Here is a 13,678-nt window from a genome sequence, read left to right as displayed (position 1 = left end):
GGAGACAGAGTGAGACTCCATCTCAAAAAAAAAAAAAAAAAAAAAGAAGAAAGAAAAAATAAAATAATAAAGACTTGCATTAGAATAACATATTTGTAATGTAATAGCATAAAGAAACAATGGAGAGATACATAAGAAACTAACTTGGGATAGAGGTAGTCAGTAACAGGAGTGGAAGCTACATTTATTAAAGCATATGTTTTTAAATTGCTATAATTTTTGACCCATGTGAGTTTATTACTTATGCAAAAAATTAAAACGTTTTTAAAACGATGAGTAAAACCCAAATTTAAAGTGTTTACACAATAACTTGCACACACATATCCTTTGCGTGTTTGTCCACCAGCACTAGCCCTCCCAGAAAAACATCAGTATGATGGTTCAGCATGTCCTCAGAATTGTAAAGATAAAACAAAGTAAAACTAGATTATGGTGCTTTCCACATAACTAATGTTACCCTTTCATTCCAAATCTTACATAAAATACTTAATTTCTGTGCTAGCTTTAGAAGTCCCTAATAATCTCCCACCTCATGTGTATAAATTCACAGAAAAGCACAGCTTACAGATAACACATTCAATGTTTTTGTTTCTGAAGAGGAGTTGGTAGACAACTTCTATTATTCTTGGGAGAAAAATATAGCCCACAAGAGTAGCAGTGGACAGAAGAATGAGGAGAGAATATATATATATAGTTAGAAGTCTCTATCTATCTATCTATCTATCTATATCTCTTTCTATCTCTCTCTGTTTCCATTTTCTCTGCTCTTATTCTCTTACCTGGTTGATCTTTGTCTTGTTCATTCATCTCTTCCTGCCCTTTTTCTATGAATTTTTCTCCAGCCCTTGTAAATGTCTTTCATTTTCTGTGAGTTCATTAAATCTACTATTTCATCTTTCACCCTCTGCAAATAATTCCCAACTATGCATCTATAGTCCTGACTTCTTCGCCAGGCTCACATTATTATATGGCTGCTAGGAAACTCCACCAATCCCACTGCTCTGGTTCAAGCCCCCATTATCTTCCAGAATGGCCTCCTGTCTACTACGCCTCCTTTCTCCACTTCTCCCACACACATCCTGTCTAATGCCACTCATAAAACTGCCAGATTCATCTTTTCAAAACTTTGAGATCTCCTCCTCTAAGGAATGAATTTCCTAGCCTGGCATTCACTTAAAGCCTTTTAGGATTTGACGTAAACCTGCATATTCAGTCTCAAGTCCATCCATGCCCAACTCATCTTCATGCATTCTAGCTGCAGCCAAACTATATTTTATATATATATATTATATATATATTATATATATATATAATATATATATATTATATATATATATATATATAATATATAAAATAACTAGAAATCAGTTATTGGGTGCCTAATATCTCCTAGGCTCTCCTAACCTCCTGCCTTTGCTTACAATTTCTTCTACCAGATGCCCCTTTTCCTGAAATCATTCTGAGTTTTCACATCAGTAGAACTGTTTCCTTGTTTCTTATTTTCCTTAAGCTCATGACTCCATTCATCACATAAGGCGTTGTCTTAAATGATCACAAGCAAAGATCAAAAAATGACCAATTATATCAAACTTACGAAATATCATTTCCAAATTTCTAAAATTAAATCAGGCTTGTACTAAAGAACATGATAGATGCTTGTCCTATGGAGATAAGGATGGAATGGCAAGGCAATTCTCTCTCTCTTTTTTTTTTTTTTACCAAAAAAGGGGGGAAAAAGGATATTAGTTTTGTTATCTTCCTCAATTACAAAATGCCTGTTTTTTACTCTCTGTCACACAAACCCTGATAAACATGCTTCTTTATCGATTAGCACAGTTGGGCTTATACTTTTTGTACAGTATGCCAGTGGAACATCAGATGCTGAACACTAGCACATGCTGTGATTTTGCAATCCCTGCCCACATCACACACTTGATATCATTTGTGGGAGGTCATGTGGGTTGGCCTACACACTGGCAAGTAAACTCATTGATTTGGACAATGAGTCACTGACAATGAGGATGTTATTTTATTTTAGCAGGTTTGTGCCAACGTCATTGCAGAGGCAAGAAGAAGAAGGGATATGAATGATACACTGACAGATACCAACTTAATAAATAAAAAGCTTGCCAATCTTGAAAAAAAAGGAACATGGACTTAACACCTTGCAAAGATTTTAAGTATTTTACATATTCTACCAAGCATGTTATATAGCCAAAGCCTGTAATCTCTTTCTGGCATTAATCTGCTTTTTAAAAAAATTCTGTTTTGTTTTTGTTTTATTAAAATCATGGCCTCTGGAATTCATTATCAGTTTCTCTCCACTTAAACCAAGAGAGTACTGCTGGTTGCAAAAGGATGTTAGAAATCATCCCCCATTGTGCTGTTTTCTCTAATAATTTGAAGAAGGGTGTTATTTGCTATGTGTATACACTGTCTCCAAAATACATTAACTCCTTGTAAAGGCCTGACGCCAGTTGTATTAGTCTGTTCTCACATTGTTATAAAGAAATACCTGAGATTGGGTAATTTATAAGAAAAGAGGTTTAATTGTCTCACGGGTCTGCAGGTTGTACAGGAAGCATGGCAGCATCTGCTTCTGGGGAGGCCTGGGGAAACTTACAATCATGGCAGAAGGCAAAAGTGGGGACAGGCACACCACATGGCCAGAGCAGGAGCAAGAGAGAGAGACGGAGGGGAGGTACCACACGCTTAAATAACTACATCTTAGGAGAACTCATTCACTGTCATGAGGACAGTACCATGGGGATGGTGCTGAACCATTCATAAGAACCTACCCCTGTGATCTAACCACCTCCCTGCAGGCCCCACCTCCAACACTGGGGATTATATTTCAACATGCGATTTGAGCAGGAGGACACATCCAAACTGTATCACCAGTATTCCTCCAAGTTGCTGTCCTCTGCATAGAGTGCTTTTTCCCAGATACTTAAAGGTAAAGGGGCCAAAGTATCCCACCCACAAAATCTGTCCTCAGTATCCCCTGCATCCTCATGCTTCAGAGTCACTCTTATTTCTCAGGTGAAATGAGCAGGTACGTATGACTGTGATGTCACTTAAATACAAAAAAATACAAAAAAAAAATTCAAACAAAAATAAATAAGAAATGAGCAGGTACGGCTGCCTGGGCACCACACCAGAGAAGCTCAGAGGCAAGGTCCACCCACCCCAGGGAGAAACGCTGAGGATCAAACTGGTGAAGAGCAGGCCACATTGCACTTTCCTCTTGCTCTTGTTCACAAGCTGTTCCTCAGAAATCACAGGAGATGTAAAGGTCTACTGGTTTGCTCCCTGAGGGACCTTCTGGAAACTTCATGGGCCTCTAGGCAATCAAAGCTCTTCTTTCACCAGCCCAATCTTTGGAGGAAACAGAGCTTTGAGGAAGAGAAGCAGGAAAACCAGGCACCTGGTCTAGAAAAGTCAGTGAAGGGGGTCCACAGTGGAGCTTCCACCATACTATTCTGAGGCTGCTTCACAAAGACCAAAGCTCCTGCCTAAAGGTTTTGCCTGCTCCCCAGGCATCCAGACATCACTGGCTTTTTCCTACTCCAACCCAAGAAAAGGATTCTGTCTAATCACAAGTCCAATTGGCTGTCTCTCTTGTCTGACCAAAATCCTGTTCTCGCCAAACAGAAGCACTGCTATCTACTTCCATCTCCCCAGCCTACTGTGTACAAAGCATGCCTTGCCACCTGCCCCCCTCATCTTTTTGTTCATGTGAGAATGCATGGGTCCCAGGAGCTTCGGTGAGAGGACAGAGAAAAATGGGAAATTCCATTACCAAAACATTTTAGAGAAAGAAGAAAAGGCAAAGGAGAATGGAACGATTGTTGCTACTTGCTGGCAGATTAAAAGAACTGATGAAGAACTTTCCTGCTTTCTCCGGGTGCACTGGCTCACGCTTGCGATCCCACACTTTGGGGGGCCGAGGCAAGCAGATTGCCTGAGCTCAGGAGTTCAAGACCAGCCAGGGCAACACAGTGAAACCCCATCTCTACTAAAATACAAAAAATTAGCCAGGCGTGGCAGCATGCGCCTGTAATCCCAGCTACTCGGGAGGCTGAGGCAGGAGAATCGCTTGAACCTGGGAAGCAGGGGTTGCAGTGAGCAGAGACTGGGTCACTGCACTCTAGCCTGGGTGACAGAGCAAGACTCTAACTCCAAAAAACAAAAAAAAAATCTTTCCTGCTTTCTCTGCTTATATACTAAGTAATCCACATGAGATAGTCCCATGATTATAAACACTGCCTAAAGAAGGATTTAAAAATAAACAGACATTTAAAATTTTTATAGAGAACTTTTTACAATCAAGATGACCAGGCACTGTTAAGAAAATGAAAAGAGCTTTGTTATATAACTTATACCTCTCCCAAAATTCTAAACTATTTATCCTACTTGGAAAATATCTCATATAATCTACCTGCTAGTCTGGTCCAGTTTTCTAATCATTTTTTGCTAACAAGAAGTGTTTTCTTATATACAATATAATTCTTTTATTTCCATTTAAGCCAATCTTTTTGTTCCATCTCTTAAGAATTTGAGAAAATGTGGGTTTGCTTCCTCTTTCCAACTTAGTTAACCAACTTAATATGAGTCATCCCTTGGTTTTTCTCTAAATTCAGTAATCAGCCTTCACAGATCTCACTTAACAGATTCACAGATCTCTTAACCATTTTTCAGGCTTCAGAATTTCCTCTTTGCCACCCTTAATATGAACAGTTAACCTGGGTTTATCTACGCTTTTACATCAAATCCAAACTGCTTTGTTTTTAGGGCCTCCAGAACCCAATCTTGCTTTCCCACAACCTTATTTCTATGTTTTGTCCCTTCTATAAACTAAATATACTCCCATTGCTAATTAAGCTATTCCCTCATCCCTCCAGTTTAGACAGTCTTCTCACTTTATTTAATCCCAATCCATCTCCACATGGCCGCTTCAACACCAGTATATCCACCAAAAAACATTTGCCAATGTCCCCCATCCAGAATGATCTCCTTTCATATTGCAGGCAGAAACCAGGGTGAGTGGTTCAGTCATGGCTGTGTGGTTGAATGTGCTGGTTCTGTTAGCACTGCAGCATCTTTTTAGGTTCTGTTTTGCCTTGTTTTTCACTGGTTGTCTAAACCTCTGCCTCTGTCATTCTGTGGCACACCTTTATCACGTAACCCAGCCCAGTTTTTTTAATCCCATTTTAGAGCATCAGCTATGGGTAAACAATCTTGAAAGCAGTCCCACTCTCTGATGGTTCATTCATCAAAACTGTCAAGATGACTTTCTTTTTTTTTTTTAAGACAGAGGCTTGCTGTGTCGCCTAGGCTGGAGTGCAGTGGTATGATCTTGGCTCACTGCAACCTCCGCCTCCCCAATTCAAGTGATTCTCCTACCTCAGTCTCCCTAGTAGCTGAGATTACAGGCATGCACCACCATGCCCGGCTAATTTTGTGTATTTTTAGTAGAGATGGGATTTCACCATGTTGGCCAGGCTGGTCTCGAACTCCTGACCTCAGGTGATTCACCTGCCTCGGCCTCCCAAAGTGCTGGGATCACAGGCATGAGCCACCACACCCAGTCAAGATGACTTTAAATTCTATTCCGGTTTCCTACATTGTTTAAAACTCTGAGTCTCCAATCAACTTCATTGCCCTTTACATTATGTCAAATTCATCAATACTACCTCAAACAATAAAATCAAATGCATGCCAAAACCCAGCTACTCAACATGTTCCCCAACTCTCAGTTAGTGACCCTCTCTGGTACACAGCGTGAGAACCCCTATCTATCCTCCAGATCAGAGGTAGTGCAAAGGCCAACTCCAAAACAATGAGACATGAGTAGCTGTCTGCTGGATTGCATGAAAGAGTTCTGAGGACATATCATGGTTTAGGGCATCTTGTCCAACCCATGGCCTGTGGGCTGCATATAAATGTGTGTTGGGCCACATTCAACATTAAAACATTATGAAATTTTTTTGCAATTTTTTTTTAAGCTCATCAGCTATTGTTAGTGTTAGTGTATTTTATGTGTGGCCCAAGACAATGCTTCTTCCAATGTGGCCTAGGGAAGCCAAAAGACTGGATACCCCTAAGTTAGAGTCAAACTTCATCAACTAGTGATGTCTGCCAGGATGATGGCAAGGGAACAGACAGAATGGATTTGCTGACCCTGTTATTTGGGATTAGAATAGAATCAAAAGCTTTACTAAAATAAAGGTAACTTCAATACTCCGATTGCTACATGGTTTGCACATTTGTAATAGAATAATTTGTACCCCTCCCCTTTTTTATAACTGAGTAATTTTCTGCTAGCATCTCTCAGTTACCAAAACCAAGTTAAATGTACTGCCATAGACTAAATCTTTGCATCTGCCAAGACTAGTGTGTTGAAACCTAATCCCCAATGTCAGAGTATTTGGAGGTGGGACCTCTGGGAGGTAATTAGATCATGAGGGTGGAGCCCTCATGAATGGGACTATTGCCCTTATAAGAAAGGTCCTAAAAAGATCCCTCACTCCTGTCATCATGTGAGGTTACAGCAAAAGGACAGCCCTGTACAAACCAGGAAGCTGGGCCTTGATCTTGGGCTTTCCAGCCTCCGGAACTGTGAAAAATCAGTGTTTGTTGTTTATAAGCCACCCACTCTATGGTATTTTGTTATAGCAGCCTGAGTGGACTAAGACAAATACTAGGCTAGAAGCAATAGATTTACTTTTTTTTTTTTTTGAGAACCGTAGATGAGAAAATCTAGTTCTTTTTTCATCATTGCATATTCCAGTAGTTCTCCAAAAACTTACAAAATAATCAATGCTGATTATAAAATAGGAAAATTTTAACCCCAAATATAAATATTAGCCACATAATTAACTGTGAGTTTTGATGCATAAATGGGGATGGGGTGGAGCTGAGGACACTAATCAATTGTCAGTTAGCACTGAAAAAAAAATAGCGTTGAGAATAACAGGCAGAGTTCCCTTTTTTGTTTGTTTCTTTTTCTTTTTTTTTTTTCTTGAGACTGAGTCTCACTGTGTCACCCAGGCTGGAGTGCAGTGGTGCAATCTCAACTCACTGCAACCTCCACCTCCTGGATTGAAGTGATTCTCATACCTAAGCCTCCCAAGTAGCTGGGATTACAGCTGTGCACCACCATATCCGGCTATTTTTTTGTATTTTAGTCAAGACAGGGTTCCACCATGTTGGCCAGAATGGTCTTAACAGAGTTTCATTTTAACGACTAACATTTTAACAACCCACTCTTGACCTACATCTTGGCTGGCAGCCCACATTAACTCTGTTGATTTGGATACAGCTAACTTGATTAAACAAGAAATCCCACAGCACAGAAGCATTCATAAAACTCCACTGTCAAATGAACCATTAATTCACTTAAAATGTCAGCCTTGTGGTTTGGCATTTATGTATGGTATCTTTGATTGTAATGCTAAATATTCTTAATAGATTTGTTTCTTCAAAAATTTCATTGATAAGGACAAACTGTTAGGAGCTTCCTGGTAAGTGACTATATAATAAGAAAAAAACAAACTGACTTTTCTTCTACTATACTCTCACCAAAACACAGAACACTCCTGTGACCCCAGATGTGTGGGTTTTTCTCCCACACCAAACAATTCTTCGACACCAGCTAGATGTCCCATAATTCAATTAAATTTTGACACTATCTACCTGGAGTTAGAGTCAAATTCCACAAATGAAGGGCTCAGTTCTACAAGACCGCCTCCACTTCAGGTGCCAATTGCAAGTCCAAGCCTTTGGTACTTCTGATCTACCAGCTATAAATTGAGCGTTCCCATAGTCCCTTCCTCAGGTTCAGTCATTTGCTAGAATGGCTCACAGAACTCAGGGAAACACTTTACTTACTAGTGCTGATGTATTACAAAGGATATTTTAAAGCACACAAATGAACAGCCAGATGAATACTGCACTGACGACAAGGTTCAGAAGGGTCCCTAGCACAGAAGCCTCTGTTCCCATGAAGCTGGGGTGCACCTCCCACCAGGCACCTGGATGTGTTCAACAATCTGAAAGTTCTCTAAACCCTGTATTTTTTAGTTTTTATGGAAGCTTCATGACATCAGCTTCCATAAAATGATTAAATGATCGATTTAATCATTGCCCTTTGGGGAGCAATATGGAGGGGAGCTGAAAGTTCCAACCCTGTAATCACATGTTTGGCTCCCCTGGCAATCAGCCACCATCCTGAGGCTATCTATCCAGGAGCTCCCAGCCACCAGTCATCTCATCAGCATACACAAAGACACTATCACTTATCACTGCAGAGATGCCAAAGGTTTTAGGACCTATGTGACAGGAAAGGGAGAGGGAGCAGAAGTCTAATACATATTTCTTATTATGTCACAGTGACAAAGCCAACTCTCAGAAGAGGAGGCCAGGCGCAGTGGCTCACACCTGTAATCCCAGCACTTTGGGAGGCCAAGGCAGGTGGATCACCTGAGGTCAGGAGTTTGAGAACAACCTGGCCAACATGGCAAAACCCAGTCTCTACTAAAAATATAAAAATTAGCCGGGCATGGTGGCGTACACCTATAGTCCTGGCTACTCAGGAGGCTGAGGCTGGAGAATCACTTGAACCCGGGAGGCAAAGGTTGCAGTGATCCGAGATCACGCCACTGAACTCCAGCCTAGGTGACACAGCAAGACTCCATCTCAAAAAAAAAAAAAAAAAAAAGAGGGAGCTTCCATTCCATTCCATGTGTAGAAGAGGAGTCACCTTAAACATCAAGAGGAGAATCAGAAAGTATGGACCAGAGGAGCTAGTAAGGAAGGCATAGTAAGACAGTAGTAGAAAGTGGTAACAGGGGCTTTTGAGTAGAACAGACAAACTGGGATTCTTTTCAAGCTGCCTTTGACCAGCCATGCAATGTAGAGCAAGTAAAATCATGATTAACAAGACCCCCTCATATATAATAAATAATATGGAACAGTGGGGCCAATGTTTAAAAAATGGTGGTGATTATGATTATTATTATTGACAGGTTCTTGCCTAAAAGATAGAAACAAAATAAAGAAGCTTTGGAGTTTTGATTGGGATTTTTCTCTGGGGGATAAAGAGACCAGGAGATATGCAGAGGGTGGGGAGCCTGGTTTGGGGAATACTTCTAAAATGACAAGCTGTATTTTCAATGTGGTAGATACTGGCTAAGAGGTCTGCTCCTATCAACTGTGAAGAGAACTTCCCTAAATAAATAAGGCAGCCAGCCTTTAATCTGAGCACTCTGGGAGGCCAAGGCAAGAGCATCACTTGAGCCCAAGAGTTCGAGACATGGCTGGACAACATAATGAGACCCCGCCTCTACAAAAAGGAAAAAATTAGCCAGGCTTGGTAGTGCATACCTGTAGTCTCCCAGCTATTTAGGAGGATGAGGTGTGAGGACAGCTTGAGCCTGGGAGGTCAAGGCTACAGTGAGCAGTGATCCTTACCACTGCACTCTAGCCTAGGCAACAGAGGGAGACCCTGTCTCCCTAAATAAATAAATAAAAGGCTATGTATTATTGAGTTGACTATAAGGGACTATTGTCTGATCCTATTATCTTCTCCCTCTCAAATAATTTATTTTATTTATTTTTTTATTTTATTTATTTATTTATTTTTTGAGACAGGGTCTCACTCTGTCGTCCAGGCTGGAGTGCAGTGGTGCGATCTCAGCTCTCTGCACCCTTGACCTCCCGGGCTCAAGAGATCTTCCCACCTCAGACTCCTGAGTCGCCATGTCTGACTATTTTTTGTAGTTTTTGTAGAGACAGGGTTTCACCATGTTGCCCAGGCTGGTCTTGAACCCCTGGGCTCAAGCAGTCCACCTGCCTCAGCCTCCCAAAGTGCTGGGATTACAGGCATGAGCCACCGTGCCCGGCCTCAAATAATCTTTGAATCTCAGTTCTCACTCAACTTTTTCAAACCTCCACAACTCTGAGATGCAGGTACCCTCTTCCAAGCTGCTGAGGGGTTTTGGACTAATGCAGCTAAATCACCAACCAGACCTTCAGCAGTCAGTGCTAGAGACAGAAAATTTTAAAACTGCTTAGTTACATTTTTTTTAACTAGTTTCACTGAAAATAGAGGTAAGGCATAGGAATACTATCCACGTTGTTACTACTATTCGAAAAGAAAAACAATCTAAAAAATAATTCAAGACATTTTATGAATGTCCTAGCTAGTTTCCTTAGATGGGAGCCTTCCTTTCTGTGATTCAAGGCTTAATTCCCTCTCTTCACACCCATCACTTCGCAATGCAGTTACAAGACCATAACTCTGATCTGACCTTTTACCTTCTCATTTCCTGCCAGAACCACTTCATCCTGCTCATTCATCAGTGGTCAAAGTTAAATGCTAAGTCATTTACTTTCAGAGGTTTAGAGCACTGCCTTAGTCACTTCAGGCTGCTATAACAGAGTGCCATAGCCTGGGTAGCTTACAAAAAACAGAAATTTATTTTCCCACAGGTCTGGAGGCTAGAAGTCCAAGATCAGGGGGCCAGTGGGGTCAGGTTCTGGTGAGGGCTCTCTTTCCGATTTCCAGATGGCTATCTTCTCACTGTGTCCTCACATGATGGAAGGGGCTAGACAACTCCCTGGGGCCCGTATTTATAAGGGCACTAATCCCACTCATTATGGCTCTACCTTCATGACTTAATTACCTCCCAAAGGCCCCACCTCCTAATACCATCACTTTGGGTGTTAGGATCAACATATCAACATATCAATTTGGGAAGGGGGGGACATAGACATTCAGTCCATAAAGCACAGTTATATGCCAGTCTCTAATCCACTTTAAGTAAAGCTCCCTCCAAAATAGACCAGTATATTCTCGTTAGATTATGAGGCAAAGTTTGAAGGAAGATTTCTTTGTCTGCTTTCTACCTTTCCTTAAGGAACCTGCCTCCTCTTCCACCATCTGCTAATCCTGCTGCTCATCTAAGCACCCCCACCTATGCCTTACTTTGTCATTCCATTCTTCCCAAATCAACCACCAAAAACTGTAGCATCAAATTCTGCTCCTTCAAGGGCCTATTTGTTAGAAAACTAAAATCATGCTAACGATAGTGGGGACCAATACACTAATGCATTCTTCTCTAGGAGCAGTGATTCACAAATGAGCAGGGGTGGGGTGAGGGAAGGAGAGAGAAGTGCCCCCAGGGGACAACTGGCAATGTCTGCACACATTGTTGGTTGTCACGAATGGGAGTGTGCTACTGTCTGTCATCTACTGGGTAGAGGCCAGAGATGCTGCTGAACATCTCACATTGTACAGGACTGTTGCCCACGACAAAGAATTACCCAATCCAAAGTATCAGTAGTGCTGAGGTTGAGAAAGCCAGCTCTAAGAGGTAATGTATTTTTATTAAAAACTCCTTTGTTCCATAGGTTTCAGTTTAAATTCCAGGCACTGGTCAGGCTGAATGGAGCTGTGTTTTGGAGCAGATAACCATCAAATCACATCCCAAGAAGGTACCTATCTTCCATTCATATATAACTAGTTCTAACTGTCAGAATAAACATTAGCTGAATGACTACTGATGTTTTATTTGGTTGGGGTTTTCTCTTTTTTATGTTTACAATATAAATGTAACCCCCCAAAGATGAGTTTAACAAGAAAAAAAATACTCATTGTCATATTTGCTTCAGATAGATAGATAGATAGATAGATAGATAGATAGATTTTTTTTTTTTTTTTTTTTTCCGAGATGGAGTCTCACTCTGTCTCCCAGGCTGGAGTGCAGTGGTGCAATCTCGGCTCACTACAACCTCTGCCTCCCAGGTTCAAGCGATTCTCCTGCCTCAGCCTCCTGAGTAGCTGAGACTATAGGGGCGCACCACCACGCCCAGTTAATTTTCGTATTTTTAGTAGAGACCGGGTTTCACCATGTTGGCCAGGATGGTCTCGATTTCTTGACCTCGTGATCCGCCCGCCTCAGCCTCCCAAAGTGCTGGGATTACAGGCATGAGCCACTGCGCCCAGCCCAGGTATATTTTAAAGAAAAAAAATTATAAATACAGTTAAAGCCCCTCCTCACCACCTCTTGCTCTCCCTCCTGAAGATAACCTGTCCCAGCCAGGCGCAATATACTGCCCTATAGTATATATAATTTCCATGCATATATTATATATTCACATAAATGTATAGTATCTATTTGTGATTCTAAATTTTAAATAAATGTTATTATACTATATATTTTCTTTTCTCTCAATATGGTTTGAAATTCATCTCCTTTTTCTTTCCATGTAAGTCCAGTTAATTCAGTTTAACTGCTGTACAGTATAAATAAATCAGCTTACATATTAACTTTCCTCCTGATGGATTGTCTCCACATTTTCACTGGTTGTAAACACTTGTAACAAGTCACCTAATACATATATGCTGAGGCTCTGGGTACATTTGATATTTTAGGAGATATAGAATTGTTGGGTTGTCGTGTAATTTTCTGGTCTTTAACTTTCCTAAGTATTGCCAAATTGCTCTCCAAAGTGATTGAACTAAATTTTTATAATATTGTACGTAAAAGAAATACAGATGACTAACCTAACAATCAAACTTTTGCCTTCTACAGAGCTATGTTAAGATGTAAAGATTAAAATGCACAGTACTCTAGTGAGTTTTATCAGAATCAGTTGCTATTAAGTAATTTTTGTTCCAAGAAATAAAACTGCACCCCTGCCCCCACAAAAAACTTTCATATTTCCAACTTAAAGCACTGCAAAAAATTAAAAAATAAATGTTTTTGTGAACCATGACTGAAATTCATTTCAAACAAATCAATTATAAAGACATTTTGAGACTGTTAGGGAAATCTAAATATGGACAATATATTAGATGATATTAAGAAATTATTGTTTGCTAAAGGGATAATAGCATTGTGGTTATTTGAAAAAGTCCTTTATGCATTAAAAGACATGAGATTTTGTATCTAAATTTTAAAACTTTACCAAAAAAATGAGAGCGTTGATAAATGAATCAAGCATGGCAAAATCTCGACAAATGTTGAATCTCGTGATATGGGGCTCATTTACTATTTTCTCTACTTTTGTGTATGTCTGAAAATTGTCATCATCATCATCATCATCATCATCAGACACAATATTCACAAATAGGGATAGACTAATGCAATCAGGGGGACATTTGGCCATGCTAAAGAAAAACTCAGCTGGGTGTGGGGGCTCATGGCTGTAATCCCAGCACTTTGGGAGACGGATGCAGATGGATTGCTTGAGCCCAGGAGTTCAAGACCAGCCTGGGCAACATGGTGAAACCTAGCTGTATATTTTTTCAATTCTTTAAAATATATTTGAAAAAAAAGAAAAAGAAAAACTCAGCTGGGCATGGTGGCTCACACCTGCAATCCTAGCACCTAGGGGGCCGAGGCAGGAGAATCACTTAAGACCATCCTGAGGAGTTCAAGACCATCCTGGGCAACATAGTGAGACCTCATCTCTATTTAAAAATTAAAAAATGGGCTAGGCGTGGTGGCTCACACCTGTAATCCCAACACTTTGGGAGGCTGAGGCAGGTGGATCATTTGAGGTCAGGAGTTTGAGACCAGCCTGGCCAACATGGTGAAACCCCATCTCTACTAAAAATACAAAAATTAGCCAGGTTTGGTGGTGCATGCCTGTAATCCCAGATACTTAG

At 40.6% G+C, this 13,678-nt stretch overlaps 1 protein-coding gene across 6 annotated transcripts in view, besides 1 other annotated feature; it reads right to left on the bottom strand.

Moving 5' to 3' along the window:
• GPAT3 (glycerol-3-phosphate acyltransferase 3) overlaps window positions 1–13,678 on the bottom strand; it is a 70,289-nt gene that overhangs the window by 42,352 nt on the left and 14,259 nt on the right. The window lies entirely within an intron of this gene.
• Window positions 10,331–10,460: a silencer, noted in NCBI's record as "silent region_15543". NCBI's record gives its function as "represses an Ori minimal core promoter by ATAC-STARR-seq in GM12878 lymphoblastoid cells {active_cell/tissue: GM12878}" and the evidence as "EXISTENCE:reporter gene assay evidence [ECO:0000049][PMID:35858748]".

The sequence above is a fragment of the Homo sapiens genome, chromosome 4 (genome assembly GCF_000001405.40).
Source record: "Homo sapiens chromosome 4, GRCh38.p14 Primary Assembly".
Taxonomy (NCBI): Eukaryota; Metazoa; Chordata; class Mammalia; order Primates; family Hominidae; genus Homo; species Homo sapiens.
Note: the sequence above shows the minus strand (reverse complement) of the source record. Positions and strands in the feature narration are given on the sequence as shown.